The sequence below is a fragment of the Homo sapiens genome, chromosome 1 (assembly GCF_000001405.40).
Source record: "Homo sapiens chromosome 1, GRCh38.p14 Primary Assembly".
Taxonomy (NCBI): Eukaryota; Metazoa; Chordata; class Mammalia; order Primates; family Hominidae; genus Homo; species Homo sapiens.
In genome coordinates, this window is record NC_000001.11 from 59,368,694 (window position 1) to 59,391,766 (window position 23,073).

The 23,073-nt window shown below is 39.7% G+C and overlaps 1 protein-coding gene across 53 annotated transcripts in view, besides 1 other annotated feature; it reads left to right on the forward strand.

Moving 5' to 3' along the window:
* The window catches only part of FGGY (FGGY carbohydrate kinase domain containing), a 466,353-nt gene that overhangs the window by 72,316 nt on the left and 370,964 nt on the right, over positions 1-23,073 (forward strand). For 52 of the 53 annotated variants that reach the window (XR_007061929.1, NR_103473.2, XR_007061930.1 and 49 more), the window contains one exon: positions 10,056-10,144. Coding sequence is in view for 49 of the 53 variants with exons in the window: in XM_011541731.2 (XP_011540033.1) it covers positions 10,056-10,144 (89 nt within the window). In the remaining 4 variants the exon portion in view is untranslated. Of the gene's footprint in view, positions 1-6,586; positions 6,648-10,055; positions 10,145-23,073 lie in introns of those variants that run through there. The other variant, XM_047424399.1, reaches the window with a different exon arrangement.
* Positions 15,691-15,891: a silencer, noted in NCBI's record as "peak254 fragment used in MPRA reporter construct". NCBI's record gives its function as "represses an SCP1 promoter by STARR-seq MPRAs in K562 erythroleukemia cells {active_cell/tissue: K562}" and the evidence as "EXISTENCE:reporter gene assay evidence [ECO:0000049][PMID:32103011]".

Below are 23,073 nucleotides of genomic sequence, written 5' to 3' on the forward strand. Positions count from 1 at the left end.
TTTTCTGCAGAACTAGACTAAAAATCCATCTATGGGGGTAATGTGCTGTTGGCCAATATGGCATTTGATGACAAAGCACTTGTGAATCAGGTAGCCTAATATAAAAAACTGCATGTGGCTGGGCATGGTGGCTCACGCCTGTAATACCAGCACTTTGGGAGGCCGAAGTGGGTGGATCACAAGGTCAGGAGTTCACGACCAGCCTGGCCAACATAGTGAAGCCCTGTCTCGGGGAGGAGCCAAGATGGCTGAACAGGAACAGCTCCGGTCTACAGCTCCCAGTGTGAGCAACGCAGAAGACGGGTGATTTCTGCATTTCCATCTGAGGTACTAGGTTCATCTCACTAGGGAGTGCCAGACAGTGGGCGCAGGTCAGTGGGTGCAGCGCACTGTGCGCAAGCCGAAGCAGGGCGAGGCATTGCCTCACTCGGAAAGCGCAAGGGGTCAGGGAGTTCCCTTTCCTAGTCAAAGAAAGGGGTGACAGACGGCACCTGGAAAATCGGGTCACTCCCACCCGATACTGCGCTTTTCCGACGGGCTTAAAAAACGGCGCACCAGGAGATTATATCCTGCACATGGCTCGGAGGGTCGTACGCCCACGGAGTCTCGCTGATTGCTAGCACAGCAGTCTGAGATCAAACTGCAAGGCGGCAGCGAGGCTGGGGGAGGAGCGCCCGCCATTGCCCAGGCTTGCTTAGGTAAACAGAGCAGCCTGGAAGCTCAACTGGGTGGAGCCCACCACAGCTCAAGGAGGCCTGCCTGCCTCTGTAGGCTCCACCTCTGGGGGCAGGGCACAGACAAACAAAAAGACAGCAGTAACCTCTGCAGACTTAAATGTCCCTCTCTGACAGCTTTGAAGAGAGCAGTGGTTCTCCCAGCACGCAGCTGGAGATCTGAGAAGGGGCAGACTGCCTCCTCAAGTGGGTCCCTGACCCCTGACCCCCGAGCAGCCTAACTGGGAGGCACCCCCCAGTAGGGGCAGACTGACACCTCACACGGCCGGATACTCCTCTGAGACAAAACTCCCAGAAGAATGATCAGACAGCAGCATTCACGGTTCACGAAAAACGACTGTTCTGCAGACACCGCTGCTGATACCCAGGCAAACAGGGTCTGGAGTGGACGTCTAGCAAACTCCAACAGACCTGCAGCTGAGGGTCCTGTCTGTTAGAAGGAAAACTAACAAACAGAAAGGACATCCACACCAAAAACCCATCTGTATATCACCATCATCAAAGACCAAAAGTAGATAAAACCACAAAGATGGGGAAAAAACAGAGCAGAAAAACTGGAAACTCTAAAAAGCAGAGCCCCTCTCCTCCTCCAAAGGATCGCAGTTCCTCACCAGCAATGGAACAAAGCTGGATGGAGAATGACTTTGACGAGTTGAGAGAAGAAGGCTTCAGAAGATGAAACTACTCCGAGCTACTGGAGGAAATTCAAACCAAAGGCAAAGAAGTTAAAAACTTTGAAAAAAATCTAGATGAATGTATAACTAGAATAACCAATACAGAGAAGTGCTTAAAGGAGCTGATGGAGCTGAAAGCCAAGGCTCGAGAACCACGTGAAGAATGCAGAAGCCTCAGGAGACGATGCGATCACCTGGAAGAAAGCGATGGAAGATGAAATGAATGAAATGAAGCGAGAAGGGAAGTTTAGAGAAAAAAGAATAAAAAGAAACAAACAAAGCCTCCAAGAAATATGGGACTATGTGGAAAGACCAAATCTACGTCTGATTGGTGTACCTGAAAGTGACGGGGAGAATGGAACCAAACTGAAAAACACTCTGCAGGATATTATCCAGGAGAACTTCCCCAATCTAGCAAGGCAGGCCAACATTCAGATTCAGGAAATACAGAGAACGCCACAAAGATACTCCTCGAGAAGAGCAACTCCAAGACACATAATTGTCAGATTCACCAAAGTTGAAATGAAGGAAAAAATGTTAAGGGCAGCCAGAGAGAAAGGTCAGGTTACCCACAAAGGGAAGCCCATCAGACTAACAGCGGATCTCTTGGCAGAAACTCTACAAGCCAGAAGAGAGTGGGGGCCAATATTCAACATTCTTAAAGAAAAGAATTTTCAACCCAGAATTTCATATCCAGCCAAATTAAGCTTCATAAGTGAAGGAGAAATAAAATACTTTACAGACAAGCAAATGCTGAGAGATTTTGTCACCACCAGGTCGGACCTAAAATAGCTCCTGAAGGAAGCACTAAACATGGAAAGGCACAACTGGTACCAGCCACTGCAAAATCATGGCAAAATGTAAAGACCATCGAGACTAGGAAGAAACTGCATCAACTAACGAGCAAAATCACCAGCTAACATCATAATGACAGGATCAAATTCACACATAACAATATTAACTTTAAATGTAAATGGACTAAGTGCTCCAATTAAAAGACACAGACTGGCAAGTTGGATAAAGAGTCAAGACCCATCAGTGTGTTGTATTCAGGAAACCCATCTCACATGCAGAGACACACATAGGCTCAAAATAACAGGATGGAGGAAGATCTACCAAGCAAATGGAAAACAAAAAAAGGCAGGGGTTGCAATCCTAGTCTCTGATAAAACAGACTTTAAACCAACAAAGATCAAAAGAGACAAAGAAGGCCATTACATAATGGTAAAGGGATCAATTCAACAGGAAGAGCTAACTCTCCTAAATATATATGCACCCAATACAGGAACACCCAGATTCATAAAGCAAGTCCTTAGAGAACTACAAAGAGACTTAGACTCCCACACATTAATAATGGGAGACTTTAACACCCCACTGTCAACATTAGACAGATCAACGAGACAGAAAGTCAACAAGGATACCCAGGAATTGAACTCAGCTCTGCAACAAGCAGACCTAATAGACATCCACAGAACTCTCCACCCCAAATCAACAGAATATACATTTTTTTTCAGCACCGCACCACACCTATTCCAAAATTGACCACATGGTTGGAAGTAAGGCTCTCCTCAGCAAATGTAAAAGAACAGAAATTATAACAAACTGTCTCTCAGACCACAGTGCAATCAAACTAGAACTCAGGATTAAGAAACTCACTCAAAACTGCTCAACTACATGGAAACTGAACAACCTGCTCCTGAATGACTACTGGGTACATAACGAAATGAAGGCAGAAATAAAGATGTTCTTTGAAACCAATGAGAACACAGACACAACATACCAGAATCTCTGGGACACGTTCAAAGCAGTGTGTAGAGGGAAATTTATAGCACTAAATGCCCACAAGAGAAAGCAGGAAAGATCCAAAATTGACACCCTAACATCACAATTAAAAGAACTAGAAAAGCAAGAGCAAACACATTCAAAAGCTAGCAGAAGGCGAGAAATAACTAAGATCAGAGCAGAACTGAAGGCGATAAATCGAGACACAAAAAACCCTTCAAAAAGTTAATGAATCCAGGAGCTGGTTTTTTGAAAGGATCAACAAAATTGATAGACCGTTAGCAAGACTAATAAAGAAAAAAAGAAGAATCAAATAGACGCAATTAAAAATGATAAAGGGAATATCACCACCGATCCCACAGAAATACAAACTACCATCAGAGAATACTACAAACACCTCTACGCAAATAAACTAGAAAATCTAGAAGAAATGGATAAATTACTTGACACATACACTCTCCCAAGACTAAACCAGGAAGAAGTTGAATCTCTGAATAGACTAATAACAGGCTCTGAAATTGTGGCAATAATTAATAGCTTACCAACCAAAAAGAGTCCAGGACCAGATGGATTCACAGCCGAATTCTACCAGAGGTACAAGGAGGAGCTGGTACCATTCCTTCTGAAACTATTCCAATCAATAGAAAAAGAGGGAATCCTCCCTAACTCATTTTATGAGGCCAGTATCATCCTGATACCAAAGCCTGGCAGAGACACAATTAAAAAAGAGAATTTTAGACCAATATCCTTGATGAACATTGATGCAAAAATCCTCAATAAAATACTGGCAAACTGAATCCAGCACCACATCAAAAAGCTTATCCACCATGATCAAGTGGCCGTCATCCCTGGGATGTAAGGCTGGTCCAATATACGCAAATCAATAAATGTAATCCAGCATATAAACAGAACCAAAGACAAAAACCACATGATTATCTCAATAGATGCAGAAAAGGCCTTTGACAAAATTCAACAACCCTTCATGCTAAAAACTCTCAATAAATTAGGTATTGATGGGACATATCTCAAAATAATAAGAGCTATCTATGACAAACCCACAGCTAATATCACACTGAATGGGCAAAAACTGGAAGCATTCCATTTGAAAACTGGCACAAGACAGGGATGCCCTCTCTCACCACTCCCATTCAACATAGTGTTGGAAGTTCTGGCCAGGGCAATTAGGCAGGAGAAGGAAAGAATGGGTATTCAATTAGGAAAAGAGGAAGTCAAATTGTCCCTGTTTGCAGACGACATGATTGTGTATCTAGAAAACCCCATTGTCTCAGCCCAAAATCCCCTTAAGCTGATAAGCAACTTCAGCAAAGTCTCAGGATACAAAATCAATGTACAAAAATCACAAGCATTCTTATACACCAATAACAGACAAACAGCCAAATCATGAGTGAACTCCCATTCACAATTGCTTCAAAGAGAATAAAATACCTAGGAATCCAGCTTACAAGGGACATGAAGGACCTCTTCAAGGAGAACTACAAACCACTGCTCAAGGAAATTAAAGAGGATATAAACAAATGGAAGAACATTCCATGCTCATGGATAGGAAGAATCAATATCGTGAAAATGGCCATACTGCCCAAGGTAATTTATAGATTCAGTGCCATCCCCATCAAGCTACCAATGACTTTCTTCACAGAATTGGAAAAAACTACTTTAAAGTTCATATGGAACCAAAAAAGAGCCCGCATCCCCAAGTCAATCCTAAGCCAAAAGAACAAAGCTGGAGGCATCACGCTACCTGACTTCAAACTATACTACAAGTCTACAGTAACCAAAACAGCATGGTACTGGTACCAAAACAGAGATATAGATCAATGGAACAGAACAGAGCCCTCAGAAATAACGCCGCATATCTACAACTATCTGATCTTTGACAAACCTGAGAAAAACAAGCAATGGGGAAAGGATTCCCTATTTAATAAATGGTGCTGGGAAAACTGGCTAGCCAGGAGAAAGCTGAAACTGGATCCCTTCCTTACACCCTATACAAAAATTAATTCAAGATGGATTAAAGACTTAAACGTTAGACCTAAAACCATAAAAACCCTAGAAGAAACCCAGGCAATACCATTCAGGACATAGGCATGGGCAAGGACTTCATGTCTAAAACACCAAAAGCAATGGCAACAAAAGCCAGAATTGACAAATGGGATCTCATTAAACTAAAGAGCTTCTGCACAGCAAAAGAAACTACCATCAGAGTGAACAGGCAACCCACAAAATGGCAGAAAATTTTCACAACCTACTCATCTGACAAAGGGCTAATATCCAGAATCTACAATGAACTCAAACAAATTTACAAGAAAAAAACAAGCAACCCCATCAAAAAGTGGGTGCAGGACATGAACAGACACTTCTCAAAAGAAGACATTTATGCAGCCAGAAACCACATGAAAAAATGCTCACCATCACTGGCCATCAGAGAAATGCAAATCAAAACCACAATGAGATATCATCTCACACCAGTTAGAATGGTGATCTTTAAAAAGTCAGGAAACAACAGGTGCTGGAGAGGATGTGGAGAAATAGGAACACTTTTACACTGTTGTTGGGACTGTAAACTAGTTGAACCATTGTGGAAGTCAGTGTGGCGATTCCTCAGGGATCTAGAACTAGAAATACCATTTGACCCAGCCATCCCATTACTGGGTATATACCCAAAGGACTATAAATCATGCTGCTATAAAGACACATGCACACGTATGTTTATTGCGGCACTGTTCACAATAGGAAAGACTTGGAACCAACCCAAATGTCCAACAATGATAGACTGGATTAAGAAAATGTGGCACATATACACCATGGAATACTATGCAGCCATAAAAATGTTGAGTTCACATCATGTCCTTTGTAGGGGCATGGATGAAATTGGAAATCATCATTCTCAGTAAACTATCGCAAGAACAAAAAACCAAACACCGCATATTCTCACTCATAGGTGGGAATTGAACAATGGGAACACATGGTCACAGGAAGGGGAACATCACACTCTGGGGACTGTTGTGGGGTGGGGGGAGGGGGGAGGGGGGAGGGATAGCATTGTGAGATATACCTAATGCTAGATGACGAGTTAGTGGGTGCAGCGCACCAGCATGTCACATGTATACACAGGTAACTAACCTGCACATTGTGCACATGTACCCTAAAACTTAAAGTATAATAATAATAAAAAAAAATCCACCTAGTTTTCATCAAAAAAAAAAAAAATGGCAGGGTGTGGTGGCATGCACCTGTGTTCCCAGCTACTCGGGAGGCTGAGGCAGGAGAATCTCTTGAACCCGGGGTGCAGAGGTTGCAGTGAGCTGAGATCGCACCACTACACTCCAGCCTGGCGATAGAGTGAGACTCCATCTCAAAAAAGAAAAAAAAAAAAAAAAAAGAAACAAACAAAAAAAAACTGCATGGGATCCTCACAGATGCCTGCTGGCATCTCAAGGTAAGGGATCAGGCTTCTGGAGACATTTCCTCTCATTCAGTCCTTATTCCTCTTTGCTGGCCTATCTCCAGACTTTTCTTTTGTAGAGAAAGCAGGGAATATTGCTATCTTCCCTTCTGAGACCATGTGCATACTTAAGAGTACCTCAGACTTCCCACAACATGTTATTTCTAGTTGCTCATCCCACAAATATTTGTTGAATTACTAGACAAACTGCTCAGCTTCATCTTCCAGTTCCTGTTATGTGAGGAGTACTTCAGAGGTTATAGAGGGCTTCCACATGTGTTATCTCCTTAGAGAGGAGAGGTTGGACTGGGATCTCCAGCTTTGATTGGTGACGGTTAGTGTGGTCTCAAAAAGAAAGAACGCAGGGACTCCTTGCTCCTCCTATTCCCAGTGTCTCTTTTTGGCAAAAGGCTTGAGTTCTTTGTGACATTCTACTTGGGTTCTGTTGTCCCACAGTGGCTGGCTGTGTGGCTACAGGCTAAAAGCTGTCGTTATATAATGTCTTTAATGACCACACACAAGATCTAAAGTAGTTTTTTTTTTTTTTTTTTTTTGCCTGAATTTAAGAAGATTGTTGTGCTTTGGCTTGAAGCACTGGTTGTTGCTGCGGTGGTTTGGCGGTTCATATCTGGTCACTGGCCTTTGATTTCTGGAACCTTTAGAAAGAGGCTGCCTTTTCTCCTCTCCCTGACCACTGATTGCTGAAACCACAAGACATATGGAAATAGATTTCAGGGACTAGCCAAAAGCCATTCTGGTAGTTTGATTCACATCGTCTCAAAGGCTACCATTTTCTGACTGTGGCTTGTTAGATCCTATACAGAGATACTACTAGTTCTTAGCTGTGTTAGGAATATTTAGTATCTTTAAGTTTTGCTTGATTTAACATTAACATCTTAGAATGGGCGTTCAAAGAGAAGTTTAGGGCAGGTCCCTTTCTAGACACAAGCTTTCACCTAGATGTTTAGGAAGTTAAAACAACAACAGTAACAGAGAATCAGCTTGATACTTTGCCTTTTAGATCTGAACTCTTTTGATATTGTTTTGATAGGGCCAGCACTTGGGATAGTACCGTTTATCTGCTGTAAATAGATGTTGGTGTTTATATAGTAGTGTTAGGGAAGCACTATGTAGGAGGAACTCACAGAATTCTGATAAAGGCCAGTTGTATATAAAATAGATATAATAATACCCAGGACTTTTGTGTTGCTCTAAGGAGATAACACATGTGGAAGCCCTTTATAAACTGAAGCACCCCTCACATAAGAGGAATTGGAAGGTGAAGCTGAGCAGTTTGTCTAGTAATTCAACAAATATTTATTGAGTTCCTACTGTGTGTTACCCTGCGGCAGGTACTGAAATATGCCTCTTTTGGAACTTCTGCATTGTTGCCTTTAGGTTCCCAGAGATACTCCTATGCTTATAATTCCTTTTATAGCTTTTTGGAGAGGGAGTAATAGAAACCAGGACATGGAAAGTTATCTGGATGGTAGGAAACCTTTCTTGCTAGTTCCTCTGTCTTCTTTACTATTCTGTTTTTGAAATTCTACCTCTTCAGGTGTTTGACAGAAAATGGCCACTTCATGCTTTTCAAGTTTATCTCACCTCCAGTTCCATTCATAGGCAGAAGTGAAATGGTTCCATTTGGGTCCTGATTCTAAGTTCTTGGGAGAAGAAATCTGGTTGGTACAACTAGGTCACATGCCTAAACCTGGTCCAACCAAGTGCTTGTAGTAAGGGGATGAGAGTTAAGTAGTTTCTGCTTGGCAGCTGAGGGTCCTCTCAGTTGGGGTGGAGAAGAGGAGACAATCATCCAATGTCATGGTGAACATGACTGACAAGATCCTTGACCTCACAGAGCTTATAGTCAGTCTGTCAGGAAAGAAAGACTTTTGTATTAGTCTGGTCTTACACTGCTAATAAAAACATACCCGAGACTGGGTAATTTATAAAGGAAAGAGATTTAATTGACTCACAGTTCAGCATGGCTGGGGAGGCCTCAGGAAACTTACAATCATGGTGGAAGGAGAAGCAAACACATCCTTCTGTATTTGGTGGCAGGAGAGAGAAGTGCAGAGTGAAAGCAGGGGAAGCCCCTTATAAAACCATGAGATCTTGTGAGAACTCACTCGCTATCATGAGAACAGCATGGAGGTAACCACTCCCATGATTCAATTACCTCCTACAGGGTACCTCCTATGACACTTGGGGATTATGGGAACTACGATTCAAGATGAGATTTGAGTGAAGACACAGCCAAACCATATCAACATTACACAAATGATTGTGGGGGTGGTATGGGTTGTATGACAACTAGACCTAAACTAACAATATGACTTACCGGCTTTGATTTCCAGGAGATCCTGGAAACCCCCTCAAGGAATGGTGGTGTGTAGGGTTAACCAAATGAGGAAGGGGATGATGTTGATCCTGGGAGGGCACAGGGTGGTGGGTGAGGAATGAATGTTTTAGGCAGAAGTGGCAAAGTAAAGAAAATGCCCAGCAGTAAGAAAAAGCCTGGCCATTTTGCAATACAGAGAACCAAATCTTTAAAATGTACAATGGCTTGCTTATGTGGCCATTCTCTTTGACTTAGACTGGAAGTTCTTTGAGGGCAGGGACTATCATCTTTTTTCTATTGCCTTTGTAACCAGTTGGCATGTGGAGAATTTTATATGGCAGGGGACATTTAGTTTCATTGGGCAGTTTCTGAGTACAGCTTCTTTCCAGCTTATATCTGCTCTGAAATCTTATATGTCCATCACCATTCACTGGGAAAATGGATTGCATACCTTACAGACTGTGCTTTTGATATGGTTTGGCTGTGTCCCCACCCAAATTTCATCTTCAATTGTAGCTCCCATAATTCTCTCATGTTGTGGGAGGGACCTGGTGGGAGATAATTGAATCATGAGGGCAGTTTTCCCCATGCTGTTCTCGTGGTAGTGAGTAAGTCTCACAAGATCTGATGGTTTTATAAGAGGTTTTCCCTTTCTCTGGGCTCTCATTTCTCTCTGTGGTCTGCTGCCACGATTGTGAGGCCTCCCCAGCCACGCGAAACTGTGAGTCCATTAAACCTATTTTTCTTTAAAATTACCCAGTCTCGGGTATGTCTTTATCAGCAGTGTGAAAATGGACTAACACAGCTTTCTATCCTTCCAGGTTGGCAAAGAGGGTTTTAAGGGAAATTACGATCATTTTTGGAAGGATCAAGCATTGTCAGTTTTTCTTTCCTGTATAAGTACTGCTTTTATATTATTCCTACCCCCACCAAGCTCCTGAACAGATGTTTCAATGGGCATTGTTGGCTATGCTTTTGTTTTGAAAAATTTGAAACATTATTGAAAGAGGAGATGGTAGAAAAACCCCCTAATTGATTCTAATATATATTTAATTTGGCAGAACTTGAGAGAGATTTGCTGGGATAAGGCGGGACATTTCTTTGATCTCCCGGACTTCTTATCGTGGAAGGCAACAGGTGTCACAGCACGGTATGTTAATTACAAGTTGGATTGTGTTTGCGTTCTTCCATTCTTGGATGTCTGTCTATATATTGCTTTCTTAACTCTCTTTGACTGGATATACTTTTGGTACATCTGCATGTGATTTTGCATACATGAAACATCTTGAATCTATCTTCGACCTCCACTGCACATGCCCAAACACTGTTGTTCCTAAGAGCCCTGGAATGTGAGTATCCAAGGTGAAGACCATTCATTAAAATTGGTCATATTTGAAGGAGATATGAAAAATCCAGAGTGAAATGTGGATTTTTCCAAAGGCACTTTTTACATGATGAATAAAAGGAAAAAATAAACACACACACACACACACACACACACACACAGAGTCACGCATTCCTTAAGGACAGGGATACATTCAGAGAATGTGTTGTTAGGCAATTTCATTATTGTTGCAAACATCATAGAGTATACTTTCACAAATCTAGATAGTGTATTCTACTACATACCTAGGCTGTATGGTATAGCCTATTGCTGCTTGGCTACAAACCTGTAGAGCATGTTACTGTACTGAATACTGTAGGCCATTGTGCACAGTGGTACTTATTTGTATATCTAAACATAGAAAAGATATCATAAAAATACAATGTAAAAGATAAAAAGTAGTATACTCATATAGGGCACTTACAATGAATGAAACTTGCAGGACTAGAAGTTTCTCTGGGTGAGTCAGTGAGTGAGTGGTGATTGAATGCAGAGGCCTAGGATATTACTGTACACTTCTATAGACTTTATAAACACTGTACCTGTAAGCTACACTAAATTTATTTTAAAAATTTGTTTAATAATTATCCTTTGCTTACTGTAACATTTTTTACTTCATAAACTTTTAAACTTTTTGACTTTTTTGTAATAACACTTATCTTAAAACACAAACACATTATACAGCTGTACAAAAATATTTTCTTTGTATTCTTATTCAATATGCTTTTTTCTTTTTTTTTCATTATACTTTAAGTTCTAGGGTACATGTGCACAACCTGCAGGTTTGTTAATTATGTATACATGTGCCATGTTGGTGTGCTGCACCCATTAACTCGTCATTTACATGAGGTATATCTCCTAATGCTATCCCCCGCCTCCCCACCCCACAACAGGCCCCAGTGTGTGATGTTCCCCTTCCTGTGTCCATGTGTTCTCATTGTTCAATTCCCACCTATGAGTGAGAACATGCAGTGTCTGGTTTTTTGTCCTTGCGATAGATTGCTGAGAATGATGGTTTCCAGCTTCATCCGTGTCCCTCCAAAGGACATGAACTCATCCTTTCTTATGGCTGCATAGTATTCCATGGTGTATATGTGCCACATTTTCTTAATCCAGTCTATCATTCATGGACATTTGGGTTGATTCCAAGTCTTTGCTATTGTGAATAGTGCCACAATAAACATACATGTGCATGTGTCTTTATAGCAGCATGATTTATAATCCTTTGGGTATATACCCAGTAATGGAATGGCTGGGTCAAATGGTATTTCTAGTTCTAGATCCCTGAGGAATCGCCACACTGACTTCCACAATGGTTGAACTAGTTTACAGTCCCACCAACAGTGTAAAAGTGTTCCCATTTCTCCACATCCTCTCCGGCACCTGTTGTTTCCTGACTTTTTAAAGATCGCCATCCTAACTGGTGTGAGATGATATCTCATTGTGGTTTTGATTTGCATTTCTCTGATGGCCAGTGATGATGAGCATTTTTTCATGTGTCTTCTGGCTGCATAAATGTCTTCTTTTGAGAAGTGTCTGTTCATATCCTTTGCCCCCTTTTTGATGGGGTTGTGTTTTTCTTGTAAATTTGTTTGAGTTCTTTGTAGATTCTGGATATTAGTCCTTTGTCAGATGAGTAGATTGCAAAAATTTTCTCCCATTCTGTAAGTTGCCTGTTCACTCTGATGGTAGTTTCTTTTGCTGTCCAGAAGCTCTTTAGTTTAATGAGATCCCATTTGTCAATTTTGGCTTTTGTTGCCATTGCTTTTGGTGTTTTAGACATGAAGTCCTTGCCCATGCCTATGTCCTGAATGGTATTGCCTGGCTTTCTTCTAGGGTTTTTATGGTTTTAGTTCTAACATGTAAGTCTTTAATCCATCTTGAATTAATTTTTGTATAGGGTGTAAGGAAGGAATCCAGTTTCAGCTTTCTCCATATGGCTAGCCAGTTTTCCCAGCACCATTTATTAAATAGGGAATCCTTTCCCCATTTCTTGTTTTTCTCAGGTTTGTCAAAGATCAGATGGTTGTAGATATGTGGCATTATTTCTGAGGGCTCTGTTCTTTTCCATTGGTCTATATCTCTGTTTTGGTACCAGTACCATGCTGTTTTGGTTACTGTAGCCTTGTAATATAGTTTGAAGTCAGGTAACGTGATGCCTCCAGCTTTGTTCTTTTGGCTTAGGATTGTCTTGGCAATGTGGGCTCGTTTTCGGTTCCATGTGAACTTTAAAGTAGTTTTTTTCCAATTCTGTGAAGAAAGTCATTGGTAGCTTGATGGGGATGGCATTGAATCTATAAATTACCTTGGGCGGTATGGCCATTTTCACAATATTGATTCAATAAGCTTTTTTCTATTAACTTTTTTTTCACTTTTTAAACTTTTCTGTTAAAAGCTGAGATACAAACATACACATTATCCAAGGCCTACACAGGGTCAGGATCATCAAGATGTCACTAGGTGATAGGAATTTTTCAGCTCCATTAATATCTTATGGGACCACTGTCATATATGCAGTCTGTTATTGACTGGAATGTCATTGTGTGATGTATAACTCGTGTGTGTGTGTGTGTGTGTGTGTGTGTGTGTGTGTGTGTGTATATTTTGGCCTCTAATATTAACTAGGAGATACATTTTTCAAGGAAGCTGATTCAGCTGGATGGATGTGTTATGTACTTGTTTGCTTTTTATGTAAATGTACCTCAGTTATCCCATACTGTAGAAGTATATATGTTGAAGTCAACAACTATTTTTCAGTAAGTTATGAATGTTAAAAATAGAGCATATGCTACACAATAGAGACTTGTATAAAATACTCATTGAGTGTGAAATTGTGGCTACTATAATTAACAGAGTGAGTGTATGTGTGGGGTTACATAGACAGGTTGGACATGAAATCTTTAAGTATGACGAGCCTCTTGTCATGATGACCTCAGATTTAAGGAGATGCCTAAGGTCAAGGCAGGTCTTCTCATCTTGAAAAAGATTTAGAATCTGGGTTGAACAAACCTGTGAAGAAGGGAATCATTTCCCAGAGGATAGATAAACCTCTAGTAATTAGGGAGGCAGGTATTGTATCTTAAAATCAGCTTATTCAGAGAGGGGTCAGATCTTACCCTCTTTCCTTCTTGTTTGAATTCAAGGGAAGCGGGAAATAGCAGTACCATTTCTCCTATCTCATTCTTTTTTGTAGTGAGTTGATAGGGTGTGATAATTCAGCAGCGGGGGCTTCCAGCAGGGAGACAGCAGAGAACATTTCAGAAGCATGTCATTCTTAATGTCAGCAACCCCGAACCTCCTTGCGGTGAAACAATCATTAGCCAAAGGTCCTGGGGCAGAGAGATGCATATGCTTGTGAAAATGGCCTCTGCAAACCTCAGGTACATGCCATCTCTGGCAGGAGGTCCCTGGAGGAGTGTTCTCAACTTTACCCTGGAAGGTGTAATTAGTCACCATTATGGTTATCATCAGTGGGGAGGGCAGTGTGTAGGTGAGGATATCATCTTGGGCATTCCTCTTTTGGTGTGATGTTAATTGTTCAAAGTTATTTCTGAGAGAATCTTTCTCTAGGTTTTTTCATCATTGTACATCCGTGAAAGAAATGTTTTGATCATTTTGGCCAAATGGTCTTGTTTGTTAGTCAAGCAGTGCTAGTTGTCATGTGTATGGGCAATACCCCATTGGCCTGCAAATCCAGAGGACTCAAAGCTGGAACAAGAGATGGAGGAGAACGTGGCTTTCCTTCTCTTTTTCTTTGACATTTTACTCAGCACTTTGACTGCCTCCCTGATTCTTTCTGATGGCTCTGGGTATTCTGTGTCCCATTTCCTGGTTTCCGGTGCCATATTCAGGCACCAAGGAGAGGGCTTTTTGAAGTTAGCTGTGGCTCAGATAAAGTGTGGTGGCATGCATACACACGGTGGACTAACAATATGACTTACCGGCTTTGATTTTGCCACACTAGTTGTGTGACCTTGGGCAAGTCTCTTCCCTTCTTTGATTGTCACTCTTTTTGTCTATAGCATGGAGATTGTTATACCTATTTTGCAAAGTTCTTGTGAGAATCCTATTAAAGCAATTTTTCCAAATTAGTTGGAGTATAGGAATTACCTGAATGATTTGTTCAAAACATGTATCCCCAGGTCTTCTAGTTTTCAGCCTAATGAATCAGAATCTCCATGGGAGATGTGGGAATTTGTATGTTAACAAGTGCCTAGGTAGTATATGATCAGGTAACTTTGGACAACACTGCCTAACAGAATATACATGAAGGTAGGATGTGACACTGAGTGAGAGATTGGAAGTGTTTTAAAGGCCTAATGAATTTTTTGAATTTAAAAGTTGTAAACAAAAAATAAAATTCTAAGGCCCCCCGCCATCTGAATGGACCCCTTCTCTTGGCCAAAGGCATTCCAAATTTAACCTGAAAAACCAGTTCAGGCCATGATGGGAAGGGTGTGGGTAAGACATTCCCCCTTATACAGTCCTCCCTTTTGGAATTCAGGACAAGCCAACCAATACTAACATCAACAAACCTTAAGTCTCATAAGAAATGTTTACAGTCTATTCTCTCTGAAGCCTGCTAAGTGGAGGCTTCATCTGCATATTAAAACCTTGGTCTCCACAACTCCTTATCCTAACCCAGACATTCTTTTCTATTGATAATAACACTTTCAACCAATTGTCAATCAGAAAATTTTTAAATCTACCTACGATCTGGAAGCCCCTGCTTTGAGTTTTCTCACCCATCCGGATCAAATCAGTATTAACCTTACATGTATTGATTGATGTCTCGTGTCTCCCTAAAATGTATAGAAGCAAGCTGTGCCCCGACCACCTTGAGCACTTGCCATCAGGACCTCTTGAGGCTGTGTCACGGGTGCGTCCTTAACCTTGGGAAAATAAACTTTCTAAATTGATTGAGATTTGTCTCAGATACTTTTGGGTTCACAAAGTGGAGGGCGTCTTGTTAACTTATCAGAACATGCTTGGGGGCTTCTAGCCTTGCCTTTGACAATCTCAAACCTTGAGGAAGCAGAAAGTTTAATGCTCAGAAATGATTTATTGGCTGTCTAATCATCCCTGCCATTTTTATTGGCTGTGACACTCATGACTCATTCTATTTTCATTAGTATAAATTAATCATCCCGTTCCCCCACCCACCCCGTACTTGTGAGCACCTTCAGAGACCTCCCTTCCCATTTCCCTCTCTTCCAGAGAGCAAAGCCTGTGGACCTTGGGTACCAGGTTCCTCTTGCAAAGGTGGTTGCCCTTTCCCTTGGCCCACTTACAGCTTGCATCTGTGTTTCTCTCTCTTATTTACTCAATATTTCTGCCTTCTCTATTTCTACTTGCATATCAAGGTGAAACAAGGAACCCCTCTGAGCTTCCTTGATTGTAGATGGAAATAATGACAACACCTGCTCCATGGGGTTATTGTAGAGAAAGCTTCTAACACAATGCTGAGAAAGCTTTTTAAAGGTATTAGCGATTTCATTTAGTTCCCTTTCTCTATCAGTTTTGGCAATGAGTCTTTACATTAAGCATAGAGGAAAGAGGGAAATCCTTGTGGTCAGACTGATCTGGTTTCAGTGTCTCCATCATGTGCAGTCTGTAAGAACCTGGAGCAAATTATTTACCTCCCTGAGCCTTATTTCCTCATCCATAAGCCCTCTCAGGGCTATTAAAACAGTTCTCTGGGTAAAACCTCTGTTTTTACACAATAAAGGGTTCTTTTAATAAAAAAAATCCACATTGTCTGTTCTCTTTTCTAGAGTAAGGAAGATGAGGGTCTGAATTTGAATATGCCAATTCCAAAAAAACTTTGGGTAATAAAACACCAACTTGGCATCCTCTGGGCCAAGGAGAGATTGAAATTTGGTGTTTATTTGGCTCTTACATGTGATTATTTTGGGAGGCTTTGGGGAAAATGATTGCCAAAAAGGCTAGAGGGTCTTTTTTAAAAATACGTTTTAGTAGAGTCAAGACTAACAAGTGATCGAATTTCACCCTGTCTTAAAGCTTTCAAACTTGTTTTTGGCAATGACAGTGTGTAAGAACACCTCCTCCCCTTTCTCTCTTCCTTCTCCATTTTCCTCTCCTCTCTTTCAGGTTTTGTTTTTGTTTTTTTACCCATTCTCCCCTTTTATTGTTCTCATCCTCCGAAATATGGCAGCTACTTTTCTTTATCTGGGTCACTGAGAAAATCACCATTTGGCCCATGATTAGTTTGTAATTCAGCTCCATTCTTTTTCTTATATTAATGAAAATAATTATTGCTATTTTTGTTAATAATAATAATGGTAATTATCACTTATTGAGTGCCTTTCCTTTATCTGTGCTAGGCATATTTAGCAAATGTTAACTCTGTTAGTCCTCATGACCATCCTTACAGCAGGTGGTGTCATTACCGCTTTGCAATTCAAGAACTGAAGCAGAATGCTTTAGTAATTTGCCACATTCTTGCTATTAAGTGGGTTACTGTCTACAATTTTGATGACATGAGAAATGGGAAGTCAAACATTTGAATAGTAGGAATTTTTTAGTAGTCAGAAAAATATATGTATAAATTCTCCCTCTAAAGAGATTTGAGGTGACTAATAATAATAATATAAGAAAAAGTCGTACAAAATAGAAAAAAATCAGAATGGAGTGAAAATAATGATAAGATAACTGAGCTGAAGCTAAGAGCTTTAGAGAACCTTTAGAGAATTCATAATTACTAATAACTTTGTTTCCAAGCTTCCTAGTGGCCAAAGCAAAGACAGAGCTTAATCAAGATTAACTGAGTGAACAGATAAAAACTTTACTGCTGTTCAAGGGAAGTAGAACTTTTTCTAACATTGGGAGTCTGAGAGAAATTAATCCTAGATGATCAAGGGTAGACAATATAAATTATTTAAAAGTATGTGCTATTAAATTTAGTTATAATTTTGAACAAAATTTTAATTTTAAAATAGTTTTAGGATTATAGAAAAATTGTGAAGACGCTACAGAATTCCCATATACTTGATGTCCAGTTTCTCCCATTAATATATTATTATGATACATTTGTCATAATTAATGGACTGATATTGATATATTATCATTAATAAAATTCCATACTTTATTCCGATTTTTTTAGTTTTTACCTAATGGCCTTTTTACCATGTTACATTTAGTCACGCCTTCTCAGGCTCTTCTTGGCTGTGATAGTTTCTGCGTCTTTCTTTCTTTTTGATACCCTTGACAGTTTTGAAGTGTATTGGTCATGTATATTGTTGGATGTCCCTCCATTGAAATTTGTCTGATGTTTTCTCATGGTGAGACTTGGGTAGTTTGTTTTTCGGAGGAAGACCATAGAGATAAAATACCTTTCTCAACCTATCAAGCGAACACACTCTTATCACAACTTAACACTATTGATGTTCAACTTGATCACCTGGCTGAGATATTGTCAGGTTTCTCCACTCTAAATTACTCTTCCACCCCCCACCCCCCACCATATTGTACTTTTTGGAAGGAAGTCACTATGCACAGCCCACACATAAGGAGTGGGGAGTAGTTATGCTTCATTTTCTTGAGACTGTAGTATCTACATATATTACTTTGAATTATTCTTTATGGGAGATTTGTCTTGTCTCAGTTCACCTTTTTTATGGCTTTGAACTAAAATAAATTATTTACAAGGCTTCTTATGTACAAACAAGAGACACTGTAAGTAAGTTTGGTTTACTGGTTAAATGTTAGAATTTCTGAGACATTTCTGTGGCATATGCGAAAACGGTTGAATTTCTATAATTTTAGGTTTATTATTTCTTATATTTCTTTATATTAAATTTACATATTCTACTTACTCATTTTACTTTTCCTCTCCCCTCCATTATAATGTATAATTCTGTATGGGTTATTAGTAAATATTCTACCTTTTCCTTTAAAGAGATGAATTCATGGCTTTTAGAAACTGAAGTCTCTTTAAAATAATTATTACGTTTCTGATGTGTGTGGTTCTCTGTGTTTTGGGTTTATAAGGGATATTATTGTATTGTTATTCATCTTGTGGGTTTTTACCAGTCTGTCAGGAGATGATTATGTTGGGTTATTGATCTGTAGTCATTTTCTAAATACAATTCATAGGATCTCAAATACAAAACCATTATTTAGACTCTTATTCTACTGATTTTTCTTTTGTTAAAAAATTGGAAATATGCTTTGTACAACTTATTTTTTTACTTAATATGTTGTATTTTTCATATTAATGTATAAAAATATTTTTGACATCTGTATAGTATCCTATCCTATGTCAGTATCAATTTTGTCAAGGGTTTGGGCTTGAAATGGGATCTTATTTTAATTTGCATTTTTGATTATTGAATGCAATTAATTTTTCTTATATTTATCAACCACTTATTTATGTATGTCATTGTCAATTACTAATTATGACAATTAGTGTTATATATTTCAATGATGTTTATGTCAATTGCTAATATTTGTATTGGGAGTTCAGTGTTTTCTTCAATTTTGGTGAGAATTTAAAAAAAAATTTTTTTGCAGTATAATTTCCAGAAAAATTTAAACCTACAGAAAACTTGAGAGAATGGCATATTGAACACCCTTATACCTTTTACCTACGTTAATCAGTTGCTAACATTTTATTACTTTTGTGCTCTTTAGTGCACACCTTACCTACCTCTGACACACAGACCTGTAATTATTTTGCTGAACCATTTGTAAATAAATTGCAGACCTCACAGTATTCTCCACCTGATCAGCCAATACTAACAACATTTTCCTTTATAACCACAACATCATTATCACACTTAAGGCAATTAAAATTAATCCTCATACTCCCTTACAGGTATCCCTGCTGTTAAGGATTCAGAGGGCCACTCACTCTTTCTTGCTATTGGAGTTCTGACTGATAGAGACTACATTAAAACATATTAGCTAAATGAGGAGTGAAAAGTTGTCTTATTATCTCAGAAAATACTCTTTAGCCTCTAGTGTATAGAACTTCTAATATACTAGATGGATAATACAGCTCAGAAGTGCAGTTAAACCCCGTCTGCATGTTCAGGTATGTGTACATACATAGGAGTTGGGGCAGGAAGGAAGACCCGATTTGCCAACCCTATCTCAAGTCTAGCAGCTTAGCAATATGAATCCAGACCTGCTTGGGTATGATTACCACATGGCAGTGGGAAGCCATGCTGGTCACACTTGGGCATAGGAGGTGAAAGTGTGAGCTCATTATTATCACCTTTTCTTTAACACAGTGACCCTTAAAATGTGGCTTAATCTATTCCAGTCTCTTAATGATTACATGAATTTCCCTTACCGTCTTGGAGAAAATTGAGTAAGAGGATGGGGTGCAAAGTCAACTCTGTGTCTCTGGTGCTTCTCTGAGTGGAGAGAGGAGGTCGGGTGGAAGTCTCATTCTCCCCAGAGAGCAGAGGCAGCAGCAGGAGAAGAAGGGAGAAACTTGCACCTTAATACGTGCCTGCCTGTGGTGACTACAGTCCACATCCCTTCCTTGGTACTTGGCCTCTTCATCTCCTGTCTCATTAGTATATCTGAGATAAGAGTTGATTTTTTTAGAAAACATCTTTAGATGTATATAGTATACATAATTACATATAATTCACATACTATATGATTCACTAATTTAAAGTATACTATTCAATGATTTTTGCAGATTACATTACTTATTTTTATTAATTTTAATAATACATATAGCATAAAATTTGCCATTTTAATTATTTTTAGGTATATAATTCAGTGTCATGAATTACATTCCTCATGGTGTGCAGTCATTACCACTATCTATTTCTAAAACTTATTTATCACCCCAAACGGAAGCTGCTACTATTAAATAATAACTCCCCATTTCCCTCTTTACCTATCCCCTCTTTTTTTTAGACAGGGTCTTGCTCTGTCGCCCAGGCCGGAGTGCAGTGTCGTAATTTTGGCTCACTGCAACCTCTGCCTCCAGGGTTCAAGCGATTCTCCTGCCTTAGCCTACTGAGTAGCTGGGACTACAGGTGTGTGCCACCACACCTGACTAATTTTTGTATTTTTAGTAGAGACAGGGTTTCACCATATTGGTTAGGCAGGTCTTGAACTCCTGACCTTGTGATCCGCCCACGGCTGAGTGAACAGATAAAAACTTTACTATTTTTATCCCTCCCTCTCCCCTCTTAAACTCTAATCTACTTTATGTCTGCTATGAATTTGCCTATTCCAGATACCCCATTTAAGTAGACTTATATAGTATTTATCCTTTTGCGTCTGGCATATTTCACTTAACATAATGTTTTCAAGGTGTGTCTATGCTGGAGCATGTGTCAGCCTTTCTTTTTTATGACTGAATAATCACATCCTATTGTGTGCATATACTACATTTTGCTTGTCCATTCATCTTGTCCAAATGGACCTGTTGGTGGACATTTGCATCGTTTCTACCTTTTGGCTATTGTCAATGATGCTGTGGCGAACATTGGTATATAAGTATCTTTGGGTCTCTGCTTTTAGTTCTTTTTGGTGTATATCTAAGGAGTGAAATTACTGGTTCCATAGGGTCATTCTAAGTTTAGCTTGGTGAGGAACCACCAGATGTTTCCACTATGGCTGCTCCATTTTACATTCCCACCAGAAATATATGAAAGTTCTAATTCCTCCACATCCTCCCCAGCTCTTATTTCCCTCTCCTTTAAAAAAATTATACCCATTGTAGTAGATATAAAGTAGTCTCTTATTGTGGTTTAAGAATTGATTTTTTAAAATACTAGAAATCTGTGGGATGAAAGTAAAATTGATTGAATTTATATCATCCTAGAAGTAACTTTTTTTGGCAAGGATACCCCAGGGAGTGTCATAAAATTAAAAATTAAAGGTGTCTGAGAGTAAGGGGAGAAGCACAGTTACTTCTGATGTGCTTGATGCTAAAGCTCCTTGATTTGCATTGTTTTATGGTTGTGTTGAAGGATGATTTCTCAGAACAGTGGTATTTAAAGCAGCTCTTCTAAGTTCTAGGAAGGATTCAGTCATCCTCTCTCACCAGCTTATTTTTTAGTATATTTAATAGTGCTGAGAAATAACCAGTAAATATTAGATATTCTTTACCCTTATTTTTGAGAAAGAAGAGTGTTTTCACTCTCTACAGAAGAAATATCCTTATCTCTTCACTAATGATAGTAGAAATAATAGGCATTTCAAAATAACAGTTACTTAAACACATAAGGGCTCATTCTTTCCTGTGAATAAATATAGATATATGGAGTCTTGGGCTACTGTGATTTCCCCATAAAGTCATCAAGGACACTAGCTTTTTTGATGTTTTTTAGTCCTGAGTTCTATTTTCAAGATCACCTCATGGTCCAAGATGGCGGTTGAAGTTTCCATTATCAAGTCCACAGTCCATGTAGCAGGAAGAAGGAAGTGGGTGTGGTGCATACAAAGGATGTGCCTCACATTGGAGTGAGCCTTCTTTAAACAATCTTCTTAGAAGATCTACGTCATACTTGTGCTTGTATATTATTGACCAGCAGCTAGGTTTATAATCAAACTGAGGTGAAGGGGAATCGGGGCAGTGTAGGCTTTTATCTGGGTGTCTTCCTATCCAAATATTGGGGTTTTCTTACTAAATAAAAAGGGAGAATTGATATGGGGTGGGTAAAAAGACACTCAAAATCATAATTTCTCAGCAATTTACATTGACCAGTATCACAGACACCAATTTATAGTCCAATGATAGTCACAAGGTAAAGGGAGAAGGTGGTGATCATGAGGGAGATAGTATATAATCTGAGCAATGTAACTCACAAGTTTCATTATTCATTAATACATTCATTCATTCACTTATTCCTTACATATATATTAGTAAAGCATCTGTGAGGCATTCTCTCCCTAATCCAGTAATTGATAGGTACACATGTATTTGACTATTCAAACCCGTATAAGAGCCAAATAATCCTTAGTTCAAAGTTTTGCTCTGCCACTTTTAAGATAAATCCGAACTCAGTTAAATAGCTTGTGGATGGGGTGAGGAAGAGGGACCATTTAGAAACCTAGTAAACCTGTGGTTCGATGACCTTTTTCTCCACCTCCTCCCTGGCTTGGGATTTGATTTTGGCTACCTGTGGAGAGAGTCATCCACTGAGGGGTCTCAGAGACATTGTGGGGGTGAAGAAATGGGTAGGTGCCCAGGAGATTTCAGGCCAGCCCAACCTGAGTTCAGAGGCTTAAAGTCCAGGGAGGGCGAGAGAGGATGAAGCATGCTGGGTCAGTCGGGCTGGAGGCAGTGGGGGAGTCGGAGGGAGTAGGAGGAAGTAGGAGGTGCTAACATCATGAGAAGCATGAGTTAAGGCACAGGTTCTCAGGGACTGTGCCTTGCACTTGTACTCACTTGTTACATCACTGACTGTCCCTCTCTGCTACATTGAGGCAAAGTCTGAGGAAGGTTGAGGTTGCTTCTTTCTCTTTTCATTAGTAAAGCAAATCTGGATAGAAAAGGGTGAGAAGCCCCATCTTTGTCCTTTGGAGGAAAGGGTAAAACTGTGTGACCTCGACGATTATGATGTGCACTCTTCACTGAGAACCACTAGTCTGAATCTGTTCCATTTCTATAAAGCTTTTTCCCCAGTTCTCTGCTGTGTACGTCTAGATGTGGATTTTATGTGGCTGAAAGATGATCTCTAGCATGACTGTCATTTTCCAAC